Source organism: Homo sapiens, chromosome 1 (assembly GCF_000001405.40).
Source record: "Homo sapiens chromosome 1, GRCh38.p14 Primary Assembly".
Lineage (NCBI taxonomy): Eukaryota > Metazoa > Chordata > Mammalia > Primates > Hominidae > Homo > Homo sapiens.
In genome coordinates this window covers 175,739,836-175,766,027 of record NC_000001.11, presented here as the reverse complement: position 1 = coordinate 175,766,027, position 26,192 = coordinate 175,739,836, and the positions used below count along the sequence as shown (strand labels likewise).

The 26,192-nt window shown below is 46.1% G+C and overlaps 1 protein-coding gene across 2 annotated transcripts in view; it reads left to right on the top strand.

The window, feature by feature from the left end:
* The window catches only part of TNR (tenascin R), a 428,402-nt gene continuing 424,642 nt past the window's right edge, over nucleotides 22,433–26,192 (top strand). For both annotated transcript variants that reach the window (NM_001328635.2, NM_003285.3), the window contains exon 1: nucleotides 22,433–22,802. The gene's annotated coding sequence lies outside the window, so the exon portion shown is untranslated. The remainder of the gene's footprint in view (nucleotides 22,803–26,192) is intronic.

The following is a 26,192-nucleotide window of genomic DNA, read 5'->3' as shown; positions in this document are numbered from 1 at the left end:
AAATAAAGGGATTATAATAAAGGTGAGATCTTCTGAATTTCTTCAGTCATCGGTGGCAACAGGTGGTGCGAGTATTATGTGATTTCCAAGGGATAGCTCTTTCTGCCCGGCACAGTCATTCTCAGACTTTCTTTCTACTGCGAAACAAGGTGGTGATATTTAGATGCTAAAAGTAAACACATGGCACCATGGCAAGAAGGATAAGTGGAGTGGGTGTGGAAAACAGAAGTAAAGGCACAAACCTGGGCTCTGCTTATGCACTGGACATCTCAGTGTTCACTAGAGGTCACCACCATCACCACTACCACCACCATCATCACTACCACTACCACCACCACCATCATCACTACTAACACTACTATCGCCATCACTACCACATCACCACCATCACCACCATCATTTTCACCATCACCACCATCACCAGCACCACCGCCATGATCACCATCACCACCACCATGACCATCACCACCACTACTGCCATCACCAATATCACCATCACCACCACTACTGCCATCACCACCATCACCATCACCACCACCATCAACATCATCACCATTGCCACCACCACCATCATCACCATCACCACCACCATCACCATCACTATCACCACCACCATTGTGTAATCAGAATGACCTCCAAGCACTCTGTCTTTTGTTGCATCTTTTGTGCCTTTGTTTCAAGATTCAATATCCTGATAGAAAATAAGTGATTGGCTGAGCTTAAGTCACATATTTGGTCCTGGGCTGTGCATGTTGTAGAGGAAGTTGCTGGATCCCTTGGCTTCCATAGTGGGAGGTGGCCAGTGAGAGGGAGAACTAAAAATCATCCTTCTGTCAATTCCACAAAATAAGGAAAAGATTAAGTACACATAAGTAATTTGGGACAGGTAGCAGAAACTACCAGTTAATTAACAAAGCTCCTTCTTCTTCTTCCTAGGCACAGAACTAGACTGTATGTCCCAGCCTCCCTTGTATTTGGGTGTGGACATGTGACTGAGTTCTAACCAATGAATATGAGTGGAAGTGAAGCCATATCCCATGCGTCACTCCCATGCAAATTCCCAGGTATGCTCTTCCATGCTCCTTTCCCCTCTGGCCGGCTGCAATGCAGATGATTACCCAATATCTTCTTGAGAGCCACATGTTGAAGGTGCTTCTCTGCAAGATAGAGGAGCTTAGATCTCTGAATTACATCCTGGAGGAGATGCAATTCAGCCTGTCTGGTCTGTTAGGTGAAAAAAAGAAACATGCTTATTATATTAATAATTTTGAGGTTTACCTGTTACTAGCTAGCATTACTTTAAATGAATATAAGAAGAGGGATGAAAGCTGGACAGTAAAACAATTTACACATCTACACCTCCCAGAGAGGCAAGGTTGAATAGGGAGATTGGAATCAGATTGTAGAGGGCCCTGAATGCCTAGATATCCAACAATAAGCACAAAAAGTTGGAGCTTTCCTTTTTGGTCATCATAACACCAAGGAGCAGATCAACAGTACTTTCTGGATTTAATGTGGCTTGGACAACTATATTAACCCCCTAAGAGTCACTTTCTCAGGCAACAAGCATATAGGCAATGCCCCCATTTGGCTTAGTGACTAGGGGATGACCTAGTAAGGGTGAAAAGGGGGCTCTTGGCCAGGGTTATCAAATTGGCAAATTGAGTGCCAGTTTCTCAATGTCCTCCTGGGCCTGAGTATCCCTATTGCTTCTTGTCCTTGGTTCATCAAAGTACACATTGTTTCCCTTTCTCTCTTTCAGTTCCAGAAAGACCACTGGACTAGGAGTCAAGGAAACTAGGTTCAAGTCCCTGTCTTTCCATAGGTGGTTGTATGGCTTTAGCAAATTATGTCACTTCTCTGGGCTGCAAAATGAAGGTGTTGGACTAATGGAGTTCTCAGTGAATTTTTTTCTTTTCACTATTATTCTGCCAAAATGGGTTTCTAAATATGATGCAGATCTCTTGGCACGAGGGAGGTAAATAAACACCCTGGCTCTGTGCAATACCTCCTTGGATGTGTTGACTTTGTGCTTCCCCATAATTCAATTCACCTAACCTGCCAATTGGCAGCATTGCTGAGCTCCCCCGGTGTGAGGCACTGCGAGTAGTGAAGAGGGGAAGGCAGCTCTGTCTTAGGAGAGCTTGAATTGGACGTGGAGTCCCTTGACTTCTTATTGTCACTTAGTGAGTTAGGGAATAGGCTGGTATTTATGAGTATGCCAATTAGTTTGGAGGGGAATATCAATGCAAATAAATTCCACATAGACAATGAAACCAAGCCTCTGGGCCCTTTCAATTGTGCAGGTGGCTGGGTTTTCACTGGCTGAGTTTTTTTGTGCTCTGAGAATCTCTTTAATTTCAACTGAGCCTGTGCTTTTATGAAAGGGTGTGGCTAGACTCACAAGGGAGTGCTGAGAGGCCTCAACTGCCAATGTGGGATGGGAGTGGGAGCTGAGGAGGCACCTGAGAGTTCTCCCTGTAAGTGACATCCACCTTCCAAGGCTGTCTGCCCTGGCATGGAGAAGGGTGCTACTTCCCCTCACCAGGGGCTCTCCTAGCCTCAGAGGAAGGGAAACGGTCCTGGGAGGCCTAGCTGGGGGCTGTCCCAGCTTGGAACAAATAAAATGCTGTTCTCTCAAGAGTCTGTTTCCTCTGTGTCAGGTTAGCCGCAGTATGTTTTTTGGTGGCATCTTCGCTCACTGTTATCTCAGTTGTTTGCTCCTCAGGCACCCTGGAGGTGTCTCTTCTGGCTGCTTTGACCATCTTCATGTTTCTCTGCCACAAGAGACTGCTCCAGGATCAAGGGCCCTGTGTGAGGAGTGAGGAAATCTTGGCCAGGCAGGAAGCAGTTCCAAGTCTCTGCTTTAAAACAGCAGAAGCGTCACCAGCATTGGGGGCGTGTGTGGAGTTGAGGGGCAGGGACAGGGAAGTAGAGGTTGGGAAGCATATGGGTGTCCTGGGCTGCCGTGACAAGGGTAGCTTAAAATGATGGAAATTTGTCATCTCACTTTTATGATGACCAGAGGTCCAAAATCAAGGTGTTGACAGGGCCACGCTCCCTCTGAAGGCACTGGAGGAAGGGCTCCCTTGCCTCTGCCTGGCTCCTGGTAATTACCAGCAATCTTTGGTGTTCCTTGGCTTGCAGCTTTATCACTCCAGGCTCTCCCTCCGTCATCACATGGCACTCTGCCTGTGTGTCTCTGTGTCCAAATTTCCCTTTTCTTATAAGGTCACTAGTCATTGGATCAGGAACCACTCTCATCTAGAATGACCTCCTCTTAGCTTGATTATATCGGGGGTAGGACTTGTCTTTCTAGGGGACATGATTCAACCCACAACAGGAAGGTACCTACTTAAGTAGGGTTCTCACCAGTTAAAACCTTCAAATGAGGTGAAACCCGACTCTCCAATCTGTTTACTTCACGTCGGCATTAACAGCATCCAATTTCCTGGGGCCAACTCTCCATAGCCCATTCCCCAAGGAGTTGTTCAGAATGAATCAAGAACAGGAAAAGCTACTTCCCAGTTGTTGTTGTTGTTGTTTTCATTGAAGCAAACTCTTATAAGTAAAAGTGGAAAGGTAGGATGAATAGGTGGAGCACAGAGAATTTTTAGCGCTGTGAAACTATTCTGTATGATTCTGTAATGGTAGATGCATGTCATTGCACACTTGCCCAAACCAATAGAATGTGCAACACCAGGAGGGACCCCTAATGTCAACTATGGACCCTGGGTGATGGTGATGAGTCAAGGTAGGTTCATCAGCTGGAACAAATGCACCACTCTGGTGATGTATATTGATAGCAGGGAAAGCTGCGCATGTGTGGGGAGAGGAGGTATATGGGAAATCTCTGTACCTGTGCTCAATTTTGCTATGATCCTAGCACTGATCTGAAACATAAAGTCTATTAAAACACACAAACAACTGAAAGGTGAATGCTGGGCCCTTCTGTGTGTCCATTTTTAAATTATTCTTTCTGGTGTTCCATGGATCACTGTTGGTCATTAAATGCCCTCAAGAAGAAAGCACTTCTTGAAGACAGGAGGCCATGTCTTACACATTCTGCATCTCTTAGGCACAGAACTTAGCACTGGGTGGACACAGAGTGAGATCTCCCTTTTTGTTAAAAGACATATTTATTTCAAAGTCTTTCCATTCCTATCACTGTTGTGCACGTGACTTCATTCTCTCCATTAAGTGCCTCTTCTGAGTATAGAAGCAGGACCTGAGAGTCCTCCAGCCAGCTCCCATGGCCTTCCTGTGCATTGATCCCTGAGTCAAGTGGGGCTGTGGGGAGGGATGGTTGAGTCTGACCCATTGTTAAGATTATGATGCACCCTTAGAGCTCTTCACAGCTCTATAGAGACCTTCAGTCATGTTGTGGTTTGTCCCTCAAAGCAGGAGGCATCAGCCCCAGAGAGCTCCAGTCAAGGACAGCCCAAGCCTAAGGGCCTGCTGTGGCCTTGAACACTTTGATATCATAAGAGGAGGTGGCGGGGGGTACTGGTAGGATACTGGAGCTTCTTTATTTCTTTAAAAAAGTGAATATATAGAGCTTGATAAAATGGATTGCACTCAGCCTTGGGTATGGTTGTGGCAAAGCCAGCAGGCTGCCTGCATTGCAGTTTTCACTTTGTCCCACACAATTTGGGCTATTTCTGATTGTATCAAGGCCCTGGCCTTTGCTCTTAATCAATTTCCCAAAGCGAGGACGATGACTACGGGAAACACATTCAGAGTTCTTAGAAAGGCCAAATGGGAAAAAGAAAATGGAGCCGCAGAGATTCTCTGTTGCCCAAAGCTTGATCCTTGTTAGAGCTGCTGGCTAACCTTGTCCTGCTTGCTCTTGGGCCCTGCCACTAGGCTTAGCTTTTTTACCTAGAATACATGTTAGGCAAAAATTAAGCTTTGATGTGTTAGATTTCCAGCTTTGGTTTTATCGGGGTCTGCTGCAGGATTCAGGCTTGCTGGGAAGTCCCACAAAGAGGTCTGCAGGGCCTGAGATCCGGGTCAGGACTAAATCTGACTGGAGGAAGGATGCAGCAGCTGTGCTTGGGTCAAGGACAGTGGGCCATCGCAGCATGGAGGGGCGACCAGAGACTAGTGTGGTCTTCTGCTCAGGATGCCTTCATCCCCATGGTCCTGTGCTGGGCCTTAGGGTGAGGGGGCTGCCAGACAGGCATTATAGATACCTGAAGCAGTATTTCTATGTTCTCCAAGAAGCATGGAGAGCCCAGCATGGTAGTAGCCTCAGGGCTGGGGCAGCTGCTTTGGCAGCAGCTTTGCTAACAGGAGTTGCAGGCTTGGGGCAGTGGTGCTGGCTTCCACAGAAAGCTGGTGACATTGGTAGTGGTGGTGGCCTTGGTGCTTGGTGGGAGTCAGTGATGCTGCAGAGGTGTGAGCCGGGCGTTAGTGGCAACACTGTTACTTTTCGGGTACTAACAGTGACAGGAGCATCATTGCGGGGGGCGCCTGAGGGACACCAGCAGTCATGTGGTAACAGAAGGGTCTTCAGTGGAGGTGACACTTTTATAATTTCAAACAACATAGAGAGGGAGCTGGACAGATGTCCTTACTGAGAGGACAAAGAGAGGTGGAACCTTTGAAAAGTTAGTAACATGCTAGAAGAAGAGCTATCGACATGGCTGGCCTCATCAGTACTTCGGGGGAATCATTTTCTCTCCTTTCCCAGCCCTGGCCTTTCTCTTAACAAATTCCCTTCTTTTTACTTTCCAAGGCCAAAGGAGTGTTGGCATGATTTGTTCCCCACAACTCAATTTAGGTTCATTCCATTCAATTTTACAAATATTTATTGAGTGCAGCAGCTTGCACCTGGAATATAGAGAATACACATGAGAGCCAGGCACCGTTCTGTTCCCTAGAGGTTTATGATTTTCTGGGGATGGAGGTGGAATAAGACCAGTGCAAATGGGACACACACACACACACACACACACACACACACACCCCTTCTAAGGGTCATTACCCTCTAAATTATATGGGGGAGGAGAAGGAGTACATGAGGCAGTTGCTATTGCTCTTCACAGCATCTCCCAAGCTGGTTTAAATAGAACCCCTCTCTCCCGCCACAGTGGAGAGGGGTGGGAGGCAGGCTACACTTCCTCTGTGGTTCTGTCTCTTTCTCTTCACAGTACAACTCTAGGCTGTGTGAGGTTTACCAAAAGGCTAGGGTAATCGGTGATGAGATGGATTGAATTGTGTCCCCTCAAAGACATGTTTATTACCTGTGACTGTCACCTTTTTTGGAAATAAAATCTTTAGAGATGTAGTCAAGTCAAGATGAGGTCACACTGGATTAGGTTTGGGCCCTAATCCAGTGAAAAATGTCCTTATGAGGAAGGGAAATTTGGACACAGATAGACATGGGGGAAAGAGAGGCAATGGAGCAGTAGAGGCAGGGACTGAGGTGCTGCAGCCGCAAGCCAGGAAATGCCAAGGATTGGCAGCAACTAGGGGCTGGGAGAGGTGAGTGAGCATCCCCTCCACAGGTTGCAGAGGAAGCACCGCCCTGCTGACAACTTGAGTTTGGACCTCCAGCCTTCGCAACTATGAGACAATACATTTCTGTCATTTTAAGCCACCCGGTTTGTGGTACTTTGCTGCCACAGCCCTAGAAAAGAAGCACAGATGGAGTTATCTCATAGAATGGAAAACGTAGCGCTGCAGCTCGGTGCCATTTTTCACCTAGCTGATGGAAGAAAATTACCCAAGGAGCTTAATCCTTCATCAGGATCCCCTCTTGGTACATCTCAGCCCCCACTCTCCTTGTTCTCAGGGCTATGTCTTTGTGAATGTCCCTCCTTGTTTATTATTCTTTTGGTGGCTTTGCACATCCAAATGTAGCTCACAGGGATCCATCTTTCCCTGAGATTTGTTACCTGCCCCCAGCAGTTCATTACCTTAAGCTTGATTTATTCCCTATACATAGAGTGAAGCCCTGGGTGGGAGCCTTCAGTAAGACAGTCACAGGACCCTGCTTCTCCAGATTGGTTCAGGGATGGTGATGAACATGTGCACGCCACATGTGACACCTTTGGGACAGGCCCACCAGTGTCTACTGTAGACCACTTCATATTCCCTGTTGCCCGTGGGTTACATGCACAGATGCACAACGCACACACAAATACACACACACACACACACACACACACTCAGTAACACTGAGAGGCCCTATGCTCTCTCAGCTCAGCATCACAAACTCTTGGCTTGGGATTCTGACAGAATTACATATGCAGTGTTATCTCCTCACTTGTCTGAAGCTCTGAGCTTCTTACTCTGTGAGATATTCTATAAAACAAAAAAACAGTTACTGACAAATTTGGAATGTGAGCTCTTCAGAGTCGAAGGAAGAACCTGCATCTGGGCACAGTGGCTCACACCTGTAATCCCAGCATTTTGGGAGGCCGAGGTGGGCGGATCACGAGGTCTAGAGATAGAGACCATCCTGGCCAACATGGTGAAACCCCGTCTCTACTAAAAATACAAAAATTAGCCAGGCATGGTGATGAGCATCTGTAGACCTAGCTACTCGGGAGGCTGAGGCAGGAGAATCACTTGAACCCAGGAGGCGGAAGTTGCAGTGAGCTGAGATTGTGCCACTGTACTCCAGCCTGGGCAACAAGAGTGAGACTCCATCAGAAAAAAAAAAAAAAAAAAAAAAAGGAAATAAAGAAAGAACCTGTCATGGTTTTAGTAGATATTCAGGTTGCATATTTCTTCCATTCTGCAGACATATGAACTGAGCAGATGCCTGGGGTTGAGCATGATTGAGAAGTGAATGATCCTATTATTGGACTTAGTGACCTGGAAATAGATAGAAATGAAAATAATTTTTTTTCAATTTTTAAAGCTATAATTTTGATTTCTAGCCTCTCCTTAGGGATGGCACCACACTCTTGACACCGATCACAGGATACATGTCCCTCCAGTATGCCTTTCCTGAAAAAGCTCTTCCCTGTGGTGACAGAATCCCAGACCTGGAGAAGCAGAACATGGAGCCCGCTGTCCCTGAGGCTAGCACCCTCTGATCATGCTGTGCTGAGGAAGCAAACGCCGATCCCACCCCCATCCTGCAGCTCGGCTCTACTCAAATATCTCATTTTCTCTCCTGGGCATTCTTGCAAATCCTCTGTTTATCCTGCTTTTTCTCTCTCCCACCTGTTGACTGGCATGTTCTTTCCACCCTGGATTTTTCACTCCACCACCCACCCGTTCCTTGCCTGTACTTACTATCTACTCAGTTGCCCTTGATACCAGATAATTTGGTTTTTGATTGTGGGGCATTATATGGATTTAAAGATTTCAGTTTATTGCTTTCTAGATTCGAGTCAAACTCTCTTAATATCACTGTTGTTTAAGCGCATCCCCATCTCGCCCATGCTGCAGGAGCCTTGGGCCCTGCCACTTCCTTGCTCGGCCTCTGGAGGCGCTCTTGGAGCGGCCTGCCGCCTCCCCACTCTCAGGACATGCTCGCCCAGGCTGTGCAGCCCAGCAAGTGCTGCCGCCGCACCCAGAGGTTTCCTCTTGCTATTATTAAGCTTAAAATGAGAGATCCTGGGCAACCCAGGAACAAAAAGTTCATGGAACTTCTGGGCTTTAGTTTAGCTCCTTTTTGGAATGAAGAGACAGTGTGTGTGTTTGGTTGGGTGGAAGGCAATGAGGGAAGGAAAGTTCTGCCTACAACTGGTGATTCAAGAGCATTGAGTCTTGGGCAGATTCCACGAGCTGAAATCCCTGAACAAAGTATTGCTATTTGAATATGGTTTTGGTTTGAACTTTGTTTTAACCTCTTGATATTCTTGTCTATGAAATGGGTACCTACGTTAAAAAGGCTGTTACGAAGAATGAATGAGAAGTTACGTATACATACATATATACATATATATATGTTTGTGTAGCTTAGAATGACAGTGAGAGGCACCTGGTAAATGCTAAATAAGTGTCATTTATTATCAAGGCTATTATTGTGTAGGAAGCGCACCCCTAGAGATATGGGACCTCAGTCTCCATAACTTACTTGCTGTGTGAACATAGTCAATTATTTGATACTATATTATTATCATTTATTATTTATATTAAACTTAAATCATATTGTTATTTGATATCAATTATTTATCTTTGAGCCTGTACAACCTTATTGGGAAGTGGAGCTGAGAATTATTGTTCTGTGTCCTTCCTAAAGGTCAAATGAGATGTAAATGAGTTGTACAGTGGAAAGTGTTTCTCTGGGCAAATGCAAGGAAGCAGAGCTCTTGCAGCCTCCCTGACCAGGTGTGCAGTGCACAAGCATCCGGCTGCATGGATGATGCTCTTTCCTGCCACTCCTCTCTCCTCATACTGTGGTCCCAGCAGTGACACTCTCCCAGTATCCATTGGTACTAGTGATCTATACTAGTACATGACCATAATCAACACTAGTACTTTCCTATAGGAAGTGAGCAGAGGCACTGGCATCACAGCTTTTAACTAGTTGTGCCACTTTTGGGCAAGTCATCTTGCTGCTCTATAATTGGTGGGGTTGAGCCAGATACCACATGGGCTCTCTATCAGCTTGAATGTCCTGTGAATCTAAGGTCCCAAGAAACACAAACAGGTTCAAATGGCAGATGCCAAGCCTGGCTTTCTTGCGCTTAGGGGCCAGACCTCAATAAAGACATTGGGACCGTAATCCAGGATGAAGCTGGCTGGCTGGCTCCATAAGCAGATGCATTAGCAAGCCAAGGAGGGCACATCACTTCTAGTGCTGGATTGGTAAGCCTGGGCATCAGCAAAAAGAGACTTTTTATGTGATGCGTGGCAATGGCAACACATGGCGATTACTCATTCACAGGTTAACAAGTGAATAGCAGAGACATGTACAACACTCCAGGACAGATGACTTTTCTGGTCCACGAAATATGGTGACTTAAAAATCTGGCTGACAGGCGCAGGGTTGTGTGCCTGTAGTCCCATCTACTCAGCAGGCTGAGATAGGAGGATTGCTTGAGCCAAGGCGTTTGAGACCAGCTTGGGCAACATAAGAACAGTCATTTAAAAAAAATCTAGCTGGTAGGAGACTGAGGACCCTGTTAGATTTTTCTGAAAGATCTCTGGCCGAGGAGTGGGCACTGGATCCGACCAACTGTGTCACGGTGGGTATGCCACTTCCCTTCTTTGGACCTCGTTAGCCTCATCTGTAAGATGGAACAGACGGTAGTTAGACAAGATGCATTTTTGAGGCTCTTTCCAGCTCTGACATTCTACAAGTTCATTATTTCCTTTCTTCTAGATACCTCTGGCTAGCAGCCCAGACTAAAAATGGTCTCTGTGTAGGATCCTTTTACCGACTTTCTTACCAGGGCTTTTCATTCATCTTCATTCTGTGGTACAGGATAAATGTATGCTCTCAGCGACTTAGACAACTCTTTTCCTCCATTTTTCTTCTTAAGCATTTAAATTAATGAAATCTAGCATGTAAAGTGCTTAGCACAATGCCTGGCTCATAATAATGTATTCATTTGTATATGTGCATGTATATATTCCCCTAATATATCTTCCTCTAACTTTCTCCTTTAACCTAAATATCTGTGTCATTTAAAACACTTTTCATTTTGTAAAATCCAGGGCCACTCAGCTTGTCCTTTGTAAGAAAAAGGTTTCTCTGGATTACTCCTAAGTGGCTGACACGTTCAGGTTCACAGTACCATGGACTCCAGTCACTTCAAGGCACCCAGCACCATATCACATTCTGACAAAGGCTAGGCCCCTGACTTCAGACTGAGCAAAGGCCCCAGGAGCGTGTGTCTTCTGAGATCCAGCCCTGGCTCAGCTCAGATGGGATGTGTGAAGCTGGGATGCTGATACAGGAAGGAATAGCTTGCCTTGAGGCCAAGTGTATTCAAAATCTGACTTGAGCTGTTGAGTTGACACCTTCCAACTCTGCTATTCCAAGTGAGAAAATACTCCGTCTCAGATGGGACTTGCTCCTCTGAATCTGGGCTTTCCTCAAATTTGCAAAAAAAGAAAAAAAGAAAAAAGAAAAAAATGTGATCTGGGCCTCCACTTAACCGTGTTAACAGGGAAGAAAGCAGGATGCATTTACAGACTTTTTCTGAAGCCCCTCCCTACCCTTTTTCCAAATGCCTAGAGCCTGCAGCCTCACATTTGTTCCCCAGAACACGCTGTAAAGGGTGCAGAGCTGAGTAGAGATTATTATTCTCATCTGACAGAAGAGAAAATGTAAACTCAAGAGGCTATATATGAATGATGAAGGGTAGGGTGACTGACCCTAGGGAGAGTGGTAGGTCCCTGGTTGAACACCAAGATTAGAGCCTGTGCTCTGTGAGCTGCCTGTGTGTGGTTTACAGAAGTCTTACAGATTGACTCTTGGATGGGGCTGAGAAGACTATGAAATCAAACTAGCCCAGACCCAACAACCCTGATGCCTTCTTTCAGAAGCCCCACAGAGTACATTGTCTTTGTATTTGTTCTAACTGTGTAGTTCTTTCTACTTACTAACAGGATAATGGAGAAAATTGTGTGGCAGGGATAACCCAGTGCTTTCACTCTGACAGCTTGAAAAGAGAGGGACGGAGACCAGTAGGATCAATTTTCCCCAGTGATGTAAGCCTAACAATGTTGGGCCTTCTATCTCCTCCTATGTCCAGATACTGAAATCTTACCATATTCTGTCCACCCGCAGAGCAAGGAAGATGGGGTTGGGAGTAAGGGACCAGTGAGAGAAGGCACTGAGACTAGCGCAAGGAGGCTTGCTTCTTAAGGAAAGAAGAAAAGGACAAAAGCCGAAAAAAAGGAGAGGTATAAAAATAGAAGTGAGAGGCTGGGCATGGTGGCTCATGCCTGTAATCCTAGCACTTTGGGAGGCCGAGGCGGGCAGATTGCCTGAGCTCAGGAGTTCAAGACCAGCCTGGGCAACATGGTGAAACCCCATCTCTACTAAAATACAAAAAAAAAAAATTAGCTGGGCATGGCAGCGTGTGCCTGTAGTCCCAGCTACTCAGGAGGCTGAGGCAGGAGAATTGTTTGAACCAGGGAGGCGGAGGTTGCAGTGATCAGAGATTGTGCCACTGCACTCCATCCAGCCTGGTGACAGAGCGAGACTCTGTCTCAAAAAAAAAAAAAAAAAAAAATAGAAGCAAGAAAAAGGAAGATGACTTTGCATAGATTGGAAAAAAGGAAAAAAGAGATACAGGAAGTGAATATTAGTGGCCTTATAGAAAAAACCAAACATAAAGCCAAAGTTCCAATGGGTATTGGTGACGCCTTTGTGAAAATTGGAAAAATGTTCCTTCAGCCACCCTGGTGCCTCTGGCAAAATTTGTTTCCTATTTGTGGCACTTGAGCTAAAATAGTGGCTGACCCTTTCTTCAAAGGGTCATAATTTCCAATGCTGATCCAGATTGCTGCTGCCAGCAGGAACGCAGACAGACAGATGCCTGTGGCTGCAGGATCAGCAGGGTCCCCAGTGTGCCAGCCTCGGGGAGGGGAAGGAAGGAGGACGTGAGCGAGGAAAGAAAGGTGGGGCAGGTGGGGCTCAGATAAGGGGGAGTTGATTCCATCTTTCCTTCCTGCACTTATCAATTCAGCAAGGGTTTCGTGAGCTACCTGTGTGTCAGTCACTGTTGTAGACACCATCATCTCAGTTAATCTTCACGATAACCCTGTGGTATAAATATTATTCTCTCTGTTTTACAAAAGGACGAACAGGAGCTCAGAGTTCATTTCTTAAGGTAGAAAAGGCAAGTTTTAAATCCTGTTCTGCTGGATTCAAAACCTTGCCGCTTGCCGTAAAACATGCCATGAGGGAACCAAAAATGACTAGGATAAAAAATACACTCTCAAGTGGCAACATTTATTGAATATGTCCACATGAGCCAGGCACTGCTTCAGGCTTTGGGAACCAGACTCAGGCAGAGGGCCTGCCCTCTGAGAGGGTCAGTGCAGTGGAGAATTTGACAATAAACAAATGGAAGGATGAAATATAAAATGCCAGCTGGTGTTAGGGGGTATTAAGAAAAATAGTGCTGGGAAGGGCCTTGGGAAGGGCATTTTTAGAGGGGATGTCAGGACAGACCTCTTTGAGGGGTAGCGTTTGAGCGGGGAGGGAGCAGGATCGGGCACATGCCACAGACCTTCACCCTCGACACCCTGCTGAGTTTCCACCACGTTTTGGACACTGCTTTTGCAACACTCATCTGTGATTTCCTCTGATCGATAAGCCATCAAGAGGGGGTCCCCATGATGACCACTTCTTTCAGAAGGAAGAATTGAGATATGGAGGGATAAGGAGTTATCCAGAGGCTGCACATCTACTAAGTGGTTTAACAGAAGTTTAAACCCAGTTCTGCCACAACCCAGGTTAGGTTCCTACCTCCTTCATCTCAGAGGTGTTTCTTGGTACAACCTGACAAAGCCCCAGAGAGCCAAAGCCATAGAGTCCCATCGGTGTTCAGCCGAGCAAGAGGCAAGGGGGCAGGTGCTAACCCCAAAAAGGAGGTTTACACATAAAGTCAGGACCAACTCAAGTTAAAGCAAGGGTAGGGTGTTTTTTCTTTTGATATGCATTCAAAAATCTTTGCTGAATAACAGCTAGCACGAATGAAGCACTCTGCAGCAGAATGCGCCATCCCAGGGCTTTCCACGAATGCACTCATGTAATTAGCACAGCTGGCCTATGAAGTAGGGAAGATTATAATATCAAATTCATTTATTTATCTGTTTTAGAGATGGGGTCTTGCTATATTGCCCAGGCTAGAGTGCAGTGGATATTCACAGACAGGATCATAGTGCACAGCAGCCATGAACTCCTGGGCTCAAGCAACCTTCTTGCCTCACCCTCACCCCCTTCCCACAGTTCCTCTCCCCACCTGTAGCTGGGACTACAGGTGTGTGCCACCCCATCTGGTGACGATCTCCAATTTACACGCAAGAAAACTGAGAGTAACTTTCTAAACTTACAGAGAGTAAGTGCCAGCGCGAGAATTCAAACTCAGGCAGGCTGTGTAGGAAGCTATGCTTTCTCGATTATTCTCTGCCACCTGCAGTGAGTGTAAGTGCTGAAGAGAGGGAGGTGTGAACCTGACCATCTCAGGTGGGAAGGTTTCACCTGCCAGAACTCAGGCTGAGAAGCTGAAGATGGTGGGAGATCACAGTATGACAAGCCAGCAAGGAGCCTGGCCCCTCCACTCTGTCTCAGTCTGTTAGTGCTGCTATAGTAAAATACCTGAGTCTGAGTAACTTATAAATAATAGAAATTTATTTCTCACAGCCCTGTTGGCTGGAAAGCCCAAAATCAAAGCACGGGGAGGTTCAGTCTCTGCCTCCAAGATAGAGCCTTTCGCTCGCTGTCCTCACATGGTGGAAGGGATGCAAGAACAAAAAGGGTTCAAACTCACTGTCTCCATCCCCTTTATAAGGGTCCTAATCCCATCCATGAGGGAAGTGGAGCCCTTGTGGCCTAATCATCTCCTAAAAGCCAAACTTTTTAATACTGTTAAATTGGGGATTAAGTTTCAACATGAATTTTGGAGGAGACACAAACAATTAAACTGCATTAACTCCCTTATGCTACTGATGAGGAACTTCGTATGCACTGCAGCAGGGGAGAACATCTAGAGAAGAGAAGAGGGCTTAGTGTCTCAGACCAGAGCTCTCCCACAGGGGAGTGGGCTCAGGGGGGAAGGCAGAAGACAGGGCAAGAATGTGAAGTTTCTAAAATGGCCAACACAAAAGAAGATGAAACCTAAAATATGGCCTTCATTCCTTCTTCAGAGGCCATAAGAAATGAATACTAGAGCTCCAAGAGCAAAATGAGAGTCAGAAGTTTATGGGGAAGGAAACCTTGCCTGGGTTAGCCAGGGAGGAGCAGAACCAGGCTGGGGGTGAGTGCAGCTTTGACCTTAGTCTGCCCACTCATGGTGTGGTCCTGGGCCAGAAAGGCAGCTACTCTGATCCCCACACTTGCCCTTATCTGTAACATAAGGGGAAATAAGCTGACTCTATCCCATATAATCCTTTGCTGCACTGAAGGGAGACATCTGCTTTGCTCTTGCTAATTTAGTGTGGGAAGCCTGGCTCACTCTTGGATGTAGATAACTATTCTGCTGGCTGGCAGGCAGGCTGGGGAGCTGGGGCTCAGTCGTATCCCTCCCTGGCTAGCATTCCATCACTCAGCACCCCACCCTCCCCAGGCAGGGTTCAGTGGGCCAGGCACACTACATGCAGAAGCTTGAGGCACAGAGGAGGAGAAAGGGCAGGACTCTGGTCTCAGAGCGTGATGGTGCAAACTTGCTCACACGGGCGCGTGGCTGTAGTTTCCCAGAATAGAAAGATGCTGCTCAGAGCCCTCTGAGCCAGCTGTGCCCATAGAGGAGCCAAAAGGATTGAGAAGTATTCAAAGGAGATGTTCCATGCTGGGAGCCGGGGGTGGAGGAAAACAGGTCTATCACGGATGGACACGGTGCCTGGGACTGCCATCCTCACCCAGGCAGGCACTCCACAAAGCAGGGAGCAGAGCCTCGTGATGCCAGCAGTAACTGGCCCTGGGTACGGTGCCTTTCCAGCTGGAAAGCACAGTAAGCACACAAGCTTCATAACAAGTGTGTACTCTTGCGTAGGCCCACCCCACGACTCCCTGTCTTCTATTCAGATGTAGCAATGGCTGCCTTACAATTCCACTGGACCTTCTCTTCACACTCCCCAGGAAAAGCACATGGGCCTCAGTACCTGTCCCCAGCAGAATGATGGAGAAGGAAGTGTTTATTTTTCCTCTCTGAATGCCCAACTCATTCTCCACTCTTGCTTCTGCTCCCAGGACCCAGGCAACTATTGGTTCTTGGGTTCCCATTTAGGTGTTTCTCACCTGGGTCAAGGCATATACCTAATGGGAATTTGAATTTTTCCAGGGACTTTCAAAGACTTAAAAGGTAAGCCAGCTTGACAAAAGCCTAACACAAATTAGCTTAAGTCAGAGGAGCACTCATTGGCTCTCCTACCTAGGAGTTCAGGGATAGGTGGATCTAGGAGCTCAAACAACATTGTCTGGACTCCATTTCTTTCTGTATTTGTTCTATTTCCTGCTGGGTATTGATGTCATTATTTGTTACTGTGGATAGGATTCTGCCATAAAGCTAGGAAAGATGACTGTGGTGAACTCTGGGCTTACATGGTCCCTACTTGGGAAGCCCATTAGAAAGAGAGCTTCTCTTTCCTAATTTCTGAGAAAGATTCTGATTGGACCTGCCTGGGACATGTGCACTGAACCCATCACTGTGTCTAGAGAAATGGGGAACTTCTGTTGGCCAGGCCTAGGTCAAATATCCGGGTTATTGCCTGGGGTGGGGGATGGGCAGGTTCCGATTCTAGAAAAATGGGTTGGGGAGAGATATTCAGCAGGCAAAGTGCTAGCTGTCACAGTTTACCATAAAGGTGTTTACTATCTTGTGGGACCAGAGTAGGAGAGAGATTTGGGGCAGGGGTAGGGTCCCTTCCCACCTATTCCACTAACGTAGCAGGAAGATCCTGGCTCTTCCTGGACTGGCAGAGCTTGGAGCTGTACAACCATCCACCTTTTTTTCCAGCTCAGGCAAGTCCCCCCACCACCCAGGTTCCTTTTGCTCCTCATTGCTTGTTGTGGCCACTTTCTCATGCTCCCTCCTCCAGCCAGTGCCTGCCTGTAACTCCAACCTTCCTGTCTCTGTGGCAGGCAGCTGGCTCTCCAGAACTTTTCCCAGACATCATCCCTATGGTGCAGTGAGGTCACCAAGTCCTGCTGAGTCAGGCTGGGACAGAACCCAGCTCAGCCCTGGCTTTAGGGATACAGGGCCTTCTCTAGCTCCTTGTGAGGGTAGGCATTTTAATTACACTATCCTCATGGTCATCTTTTTATTTTTGTCTTTTAAAACAATTAACCCAGTACTTAGCAGCTTATTCACTGCCATTTTTAAGAAGTCCCTCCTCCACTTCCCAGAAAAGAAGCCCCAAGTCTTGCAATAGTCCTTTCTAAGTAAACCTCTTAGCCATTAGTCCAGCACAACCCCACATTATCTCACTTGGAAGGGAGTAAACAAGTCATCTACTGAAACCACCCAGCTAATGCTTGAATGCCCCCACAATGTCCTAACAAGTGGCTGTCCTTCCTGAGTTAGGCTACTTTTAGGAAGTGCCCATTAGGCAAGTCTGACTACTGTCGGCAACGCCTGCTCTCTGCTCTTCACTCTCTTTGTGGGCCTTGTGAGTATCACATTGTGCCTAGACCCCTATTTTAAAAGTCTGGGAGTTCCCCGGGCAGCTTCCCTAGGATGGTGTGAACATTTGACTCCTGATTGTCTGTATGGTAGGTGCTGGGAAAGCGTTAGTTCCCAGCCATTGCAGAGGCTCCCCTAGTCCACACATGGTCAGGTGCCGTGCATGGGAATGCGTGCAGGGCTCCATGGGAAACTCTGGGACACTGTCCACTCTTGAACTCCCTCCCCCAGTGCTGGGGTTCTCTGGTAGGGCTGAACTGCTTCATTGCTTTAGGGAAGCCATTTATTTCCTGGGTCTCTGTGCCTAACACTCCTGAGCCAACTGCCTACAGAATGTGGTGGTGAATGCTCTTGTAAGGAGATGTGGAGGCACACAGTTGGCAGCTCATAGCAGGGCTCTTTTTCCCAGTGGTGGGTAGAGTCATGTGTAAAGACTGCATGGGGTACTCAGCCTTCTCACCTTCGCTATGGGGAAAATATTTGGGGTAAGAAAGAGAAAAGAGAAAATTACCCCCCAGATAGTGTCTCCACCTGGAAGAACCTTTAGTCTATCCATTCCATTTTCTCTCTTAACCTAGCAGACTTAGTTGGAAGCCCATCTGTCTCTCTCTTTCTTTCTCTCTCCCTCTGTCTTTCTCTCTGTCTCTCTTCCCCCCTCCCCCAGCTCTATCTCTCCTTCCCTCTCTCCATCTCTTTTTTCCAACACCCTCCCTCTCCCAGGTTCAGTCTGGGAGTGGGAATGGACCGAGACCCACAGTGCTAGATGCTTCCTAAATGAAAACCTTGTTCTGGCCCCCAAGAAGTTTGTATCCTCATAGGATGAAAGGGCAATAATTTATAATCCTACATAGCTACAGCCAGGTGAACACAGGCTTGCAAGTCAGAAATTGTGTAGGAAGGATGAGTGGGAAATAGGAAGACTTACTCCCAAAACATTACCTGGATAGGACAGGCTTTGGGGGTGTTGATTAATCATCTAGATAGTGTCCACTGCTCCTCTTTCCCCTTCTTCTTGGCCAGAGCTCTGAGGTCATCACAGGTCTTATCTGGTGTTTACACCAAACTTTCTGTCTTTCTATGCTCATGGAAACAGTGGCAAGATGGGGGCCTAGGTTAGTCTAGGAATTGAGGGCTCCCTTGGCTATTCTGTACTTGCCATATCTCAAAGCTGGATCCTAGGTTCCCTTCCCTTTTCTGTCAAAAAGCCACAGTTGCACTTCCTGAGTCCCTATGTCCAGACCTCAAGTACTGGAAGGGTTGATCCAAGAGCTTTCTGGAATGCTGGTCATGGTATGGATTTTCCTTGTGAAATTCCACCATGGTATTTCACCACATAGTGGCTCCTGATTCCCTGGAGATAGCTGGGTGCCTAAGGAGATGCTCGGTTTGGTGGAGGAGAGCTTGGGGGCTGGAGTGCTAGGTAGAAAACAAAAATTCGGGGGCTGGCTGGACAGGTGGCTCATGCCTGTAATCCCAGCATTTTGGGAGGCTGAGGCAGGTGGATCACCTGTGGTCAGGAGTTCAAGTCTGGCCTGGCCATAATGGTGAAACCCCATCTCTATTAAAAATATCAAAATTAGCTGGGAGTGGTGGTGCATGCCTGTAATTTCAGCTACTTGGGAGGCTGAGGCAAGAAAATAATATCTTGAACCTGGGAGGCAAAGGTTGCAGTGAGCCGAGATCGCGCCACTGCACTGCAGCCTGGGTGACAGAATGAGTGAGACTCCATCTCAAACAAACAAACAAACAAACAAACAAACAAAAGATCCAGGGGCCAATGATTACCAGCTTCCAAAGAGGAATGGTGATTGAGGGGTCTTGTCATTAGAAGTAGATCAGAAGCCAAGAAACCAGTAACTGATCCAAAGAACAAGTAACTGATCTCAGTCCCAATATCATCTTCAACTACATATTTGGTTATTGTTATGAGCCAATCAGTAAGTATTTTCAGGCTATTTTCTGGGTATCAAGCACTTCAGCTACAAGGACTAAAGAAGAAATATAAAACTTGATCCAGAGGTCAAGGAAATAGGGTTGAGATTCTGCCCTCAGTCTTCTTTGTTTTCTCTCCTGTTGGTGGTCTCCATCCAGCAACTATTATGTCCATGTAAATGGGCTCCAGATCTAAATCACCAATCCAGATCTCTCATCTGAGCTCCAGAACTCCAGCCACTGCCAGGACAGCTCTATTATAGTATATAAGCTCACTCTCCCAAAGCCTGACATATCCAAAATCAAATTCATCCATCAATCTCACTTCTCTTCTACTCTTCCCAAACCCATCCATATTCCAAAGCTTCACATCTTTCTGTCTACAATGATCTTCTTTCTACTCTCCCTCTAATCAGTGTCTCACTATTCATTAAGAAAACTCGGATCTCATGTTTCTATTTATAAAATGTCTAGGTGCAATGGAGCAGTCTCCTGAACCTACATTCTTTACGGTCCAGATGAATGGCCACTTCCCAGGTGAAGTCTCCCATAACCCCTCCTAGGCAGAAGGACCTTTCCTTCCTCTGGGCTCCCAGAGCACTTAATCTGAAACCTTCTTTTAGCCGTTTCTACATTCATCTTCATTTCAAATCCAAGTCTCTGATGTCTCCGTACTTCTGAAATATTCCTACTTCCCAATACATTTAATAATTGTACATCCACCAGAAAAAAAATACTAGCACCCTAAATTTCCCCTTTTTTTGAACTGACTAGTGCCTTTTTTATGGGTTTCTCATCTAATAGTAACAGATCATACTTCCAGCTTCCTGGTAGATGCTACACCCTCACTCGGTTATGTTAGCTTCTATGTTATTGAAACACTCTATTAAATGGTGTGGGCACTTCTAAGTGATGAGAGAAGATATCATCATGCTTCACAAAGGGGATGACTTTAGAGTCAAATAGATGTGCATTTGATTTGGGTTCTATACTTATTAGATGTGTGAACTTGAGCAAGCCACTTAACTTTTATGAGCCTCAGATTCCCCATTTGTCAGTGGAAGGGTAATACTTTCTTTGAAAGTTTCCTACTATGCTCTTTCCCCTTTCCCTCCTCCATGAGTTTGCACATGCTATGCCTTCAGCTTAATTCTCTCACCCACTTTTTGCTGGGAAGACTTCTGATTATTCAGGCCTCAGCTTAGATGCTGCATACCTTAGGAATTCCCCTAGCCCTCAAAGATCAAGTTAGTTGTGTTTTCCATGTGCTCACTGCCCAAATTCTTGGCACTTAGTCCTTGAATTGTAATCATTTGTGTCTTGCTCTTTCTTTCCCCCTTTGAGGAACTGGTAACTCTGTTGAGGACAGGGACCATGATTTGTTAATTGTCACCTACCATCTTTGTCCTACTTCATCCACTTTTCACCCAAAAAAAAAAAAAAAGCCAGAAAAAGTAAGCCACCTCAGCTAAGGAATTCATAATTCTGAGATTCTGAAGAAAATGTCAATTTCTCACTGAGCGTTTATTACCTGAATGCATTACAACGTTTCAGCTCTTCAAATTGCTGGCTCCGTTCTTGCACTGTGTTAGGCAGTGGGCAATAATTTGCTTTTGGTACAGAAATTGAGTGATGTGTCTTCTGAACTGATGTTAAAACCCAATAGTTTCCAATTTTATAAGATTTAAAGCCAGTTTTGTATATGTGAAACTACCCAAATCACCAAGAGAATTAATTTTCTTAGGAGATTCTCATCGGTAATAGCAATTTCCACAGTTTGTTTGGCACCCCTAGTGGTAAATATTTTATTTTAAAAACTCAGCCACATATAAATTTATTGTAACAATCTAGGCACTTTGTCATAAATAAAAGCAATGATAACTGTGGTGCTATCTTCTATTTACTTCAAATGTCACTCCTGAAGTGTACATTTATAGAACATGGTAATTCAATGAGGAAGCTCCAGGGTCAGATGGCTCAGGTTCCATTACCATCCCTGACACTCACTAGTTGTGTGATCTTTGGAAAGTTATTTCATTCCTCTGTTACTCAGTTCCCAGTCTATAGAGTAGCAATAATAGCCTCTGCATTATAGAGTTATTGTATGGCTTAAATGAGCTAATACATGTAAGGGCTTATAACAGTGCCTAGCACCTGGTATAAACACTCTATAAATGTTAGCTATTGTTATTTGCCAGGAGTGAATCAAATATAAGAAGAGTGTTTGTATAAGATTACCTTTAAATTCCCTGCCAATCCTGAGGTTCTATGTTTCTATATCATTCCAGTCCCTTAGCATTCCTATTCAGTAGGGAGGGGGCAGCATTATCCACATTTTACAAACAGTAAAATTGAGCCATAGAGAAGCAAAATGTCCAGTAAGCAAGTGGCAGTCTGAAACCAGGACTCAGATTTTTAGATGTAAGTATTAGGACTCTTTCCGGGAGGCTGTGTGGCTGTACATTTAAAAGAGAATGTTAGATATCCCTTATGAGCCTATGAGCAGTGACCCCTTGATGCCCCTTCTCTGCCAAGGTTCTCCATAAATGTGCATCAAGGTCACTTCTGTCTCTACTTCTGAGATGATCTCAGGCCATATCTTTTCAGATATTTTTCTTACTAGCTTTACAAAAAAGCTATATTGTGGAGTTGGATGAAGGGCCAGCTCCCTGTATCCTCTGCCTCTTTAGGCATTCCCATGCCTGGGTTGTGCTACGTATACACATACTTCACCTGGCTGCAGACGCTGACTTTTTGGAGGGTTCCTTCTGCTGAGCCCGGACCTCAAACCACTTGAGAACCCCACAACTGACCTTATTCCAAAACATTCTATCCCAACCCATTCCACCCTGGATTTCTCCTTCAATCATGGGCAAAGGATCTGCAAAAGCTTCCATCCTCTCCCTTTCTCTTCTTATCTGGGTTGGTCAGAGGGAAGCCTCTATCTTCTTCAGGACCCTGCCTATGCAGAGGCAGCTCCAAGAGTTGGGTGCGGGGAGTATTTCTGTGCCTGAATCTGGACTGTTCAAGAGGATTTAGGATGCTTTTCTTTTCTGTCCACTAGGGGGCTGCTTGTAGGGGGATGGAAAAAACGGAGGCTTAAAAAAATCATGCTGCTGAAATTTCAGCAAGAGGGGAAAAGAGAGAGCGCGTGAGAGAGAGAGAGAGAGAGAGAGAGAGAGAGAGAGAGAGAGAGAGACAGCAAAGCAGTCCCAGGCTTCCTCCTCTCTTTCACGTCAGAGGCAGGAACCGACTGTGCTAAGGCTGTTGGCTCAACACCCAGAGGAGACGGGCAGACCCAGGGAGAGTGAGAGAAGGGGGTCCTCTCTGACCCAAGGAATTACCACTAGTGGAGTGAAGCCACCTGACTTTTTGATCTTATTTTGGTTGCCTCCTCATTCTCCTTCCACCCGTAGCCCTGACAGCTTGGGTTTCATTTCTTTCGTGGAGCCTTGTCTCTTCCTCCCAGAATAGGAGGAAGGGAAGAGAAGGGAAAGAGGAGGGCTCTCTAGGTGAGCGCATCAGCTGGCTCCAGCCTGAGCAAGCAAGAATTTTCTTCCCAGGAAGCTCCTCTCGCTCCCCGGCCGCCCACCCCCAGCCTGGGTAAGTCCAGAGCACTCGCTCCTTTGATTTTCTGGCTAACGTGATTTCAGCACCAAGGAGAGCTATGAGATGCATTTTGGTTCCTGTGTATCTGTGTGTTCTGCAAGGCATTTGGCACTAGGGTTACATCTATTTCTCTGCTGCCAGTAGAGTCGGGTTCTGCGTAGGGAAAAGAAAGGCGCAAAACTATGTTTACCGAATTAAAGGGGGATTGGACTCTGGCCTTGCGGGTGTGTGTGTGTGTGTGTGTGTGTGTGTGTGTACTGTTGCATAAGACAGGTGAGGTCTGAGCTAAATTGCGGGTGGTTTCTGCGTGTCTCCATGTAAGGCTGTTCTTTTTGTCTGTAGATAAGCGAGATGGTTTGGGGAATTAGTCGTGCACCTTCTTTAACTCTCTCCCGACAAGCCATCCATGGTGGGAAAGAGTTGCAAAGGAAGCCTGGGGGGTTGGGAGTGGAGGTAGAGTTAAAAGTTACGCACCTCTGAGAGAGCTTTAAAGAGGTGCTTTGTAAAATGTCAGTTTCCTAGTATTCTCTGGGCTCTTGCTGTGGAGAGAGCCCAACCTGACCTTTTACTTTCTCTTCTGGTGTGAACCCATGGTAAGTGGGCAGGTGCAACAGGTGAAGCTCAGGCTGGGGCGGCTTTGGGGGGTTGAGGTCCCTTCTGACTTCATGGTGGTAGGAAAGTGCTAGTGTCTTGAGCTTTGCAGAGACTGGCTGGTGTGGGTTATATTACATTTGCAAGGAGGCAGGAGGTACCCTCCACTTTTATGCCATCTTTGGCTATGGGTGGTTGGAAAGAAGACAAAGTCTGTTCTGCCCTGTTTTCTGGGGCATTTGGCAGTGAAAAACAACTAAGAATAAAGGTTTGTCTCTATATGTCTAGGGTGAGCAGAAACAAAATTAGACTTGTCCCAGACTCAGGAGGGCTTGAAGTGGTACTCTGTTCTCCTCCAGCACTGAGAGGCTCTGCAAACAGGAGCTCATTATTACTTCTTTCTTCACTGCTGCTACTTTTTGCAAGGTATTACTCTGTCTCTCCTGCTTTCTGCCTCTCTGAAGTATGTTCAGTCAATTCCCTGCATCTGCTTTGGTATTGTCTTGGAGACACTATAGGCCTGCCCCTGCCCCATTCAGTCCTGGCCACACCTACCTGGTTGAGTCATTCAACAAGTGGTGTTGAGGATTTCCTTCAATCATTCAAGTCTCCGTGGAGCCAGCATCCTACAGGGAACTTGAAAGAGATGTGGCTTCTTGTAGGAGCAAGTCTTCCCTTGATTTAACCCCTAACTGTTTATGGTTCTGGTCACTTTCTTCAAGTGTGTTGAGACAGGGGAGATACATAGGCAAGGTGGGGTGGTTTCACTCTTTCCAACCCCAAATGGACCCTAGAATGGTGATTCTTTGTCTTATTTTTAATTCAGCACAATGGGCCCCTTCTCCAAGATGAAGAAAATACTCTCTGCCTCTGGCTGGGGAGCCTTCTGGGTGAGAGACACAGTTCTGAGTGAAATGGCACCACTTTTCTTTTTTACTATGCTTGGCATTGGATCCAGAAATCTTAGCATCTCCCTAGAGTGGCAGGAAGTAGAATGCATCCAGGAAGACAGTGAAGTCAGAGGTTGTAAGGGTAGGGAAGAAAGACTGAAATAGACAAATGCAGAGCATCAGAAACCAACACTGACTCATTCAGTATTTTAACATTCCAAACCTCCTGTCCTTGAAATCTTCCAGTTTGAACAAGTGAGTGGATAGATTTCTGCATGACACATCACTGAGGATTTTTAAAAAATTATGCCCTTGCAGTGGACCCTGTCCAAAACCACAGTTTATTACTGAAGTCACCATACTTAGTAGTCATTATCTCATTAATGCCCTTAAATTTTCTCTGAAAAAAAAGTGCTCAGTGACATTATTGGACCCATTTTATAAATGGAGAGACACAGACGCTTAAAGTGGGAAGCCAGAGGATAGCGAAAGCAGAAATAGAACTTCTAGCCTGCTAATATTCCCTCACCTAGGAAATGCAGTAATGCTCATGTGCAGGAGAGAAGGAATGGATTGCTCCCCATTGGATAGACTTGCAGCCAAAGCCTTTTAGGGAACTCAGTGTGGAGCAATGGCCTCTCTCTGGTGAAGAATGAGAATCAGCCAGAAGTCTCAAGGTGCTGCTGGCCTTTACTTCTCAGCTAAGAAGATGGCCAAGAGCCAGGTAAAGAGCTCTCTGGGCTTACTGCAAAGAGAGAACCCTGGGCTGGTGGCATCTAGGCTGAACTGATGTCGTGCACCTGATTGTCACATCACCATGCCCCAGAAATCCCAGCTGAAGCCACCCTATCTGGGGCATGTTGCCATGGATGTCTTGGCTTTGGGTGTTTGGTGACTGTTCTCTCTAAGAACGTTTTTCTGGGACCACCTTCATTGAGTCCTCTGTGGCTCTGAATGTGGCAAGGATGACTAAGGAGCAGGAGAGGGCTGGGCTCTGACCACCTATAGAACCACTAGAAGAGGAGTGGGAAACTGGATACAAACTCACTTTACATATAATGCCACTTCTGCAGCATTCCTGGCCATCATATCTGGCCAGCAATCTGGAGACAAAGCCACTAAGTTCTCATGCCCAACCCCCCTTCACTGTGTAGGGGAGACTGCTGGGCTGCCACCCAGGACTGGGGAGATGAGCAGTGGTGGGGAAAGATGGAAGGAGGAGGTCAGCTGTTCTGCCCTATTCTCCATGGCCATAGGTTGCCATCTTTTACCTGGAAAGCGCCATTATTACTTTTTTTTTGTTGAAAAAAATGACATATAATTTGTATATAATAAAATGCACTGATCTTAAGTATTCAGATTAAGTTTTGACAATTGTGTACACTTGTATACCCCAAAAAAGATGTATAAAAGTTCCCTGTGCTTCTTTCCAATTTCTCCCTCTCCCAACACCATCACTTTCTGACTTGTGTTTGTGCATATGTGGTATCACCATAGCTTATGCTGCTACATTTTGCAGCAGAAATGTATTGCTGAATGTATTACTTAATAGATGTGGTATGTAAACCCTAGACTTTCAAGGGAACACCTCAGAGTTCTGAGGCTATTGTTACTGGGTAAGTAGCAAAGATGTGGGAGGGGTACATTCTGCTCCCCAGCCTTGAGGTCATGGTGTTAGAAAGTCAAGTGGTCATTTCAACCGCATTTATAGAAACCAACAATCAAATGTGAACAGAAACTGTGGAAGCTCCTGCAGGCAACTGCCTCAGAGCTGACCTGAGTTATTTGATGGAGTTCATAGAGATGATTTTGAAATTTTTATTAAAAACTTAGAATTCAGTATTCCAAGTTGGTGGTTGGTCATGTCTCCCCATCTGGGCTCCAGGAGAGTGAGCTGAGGAAA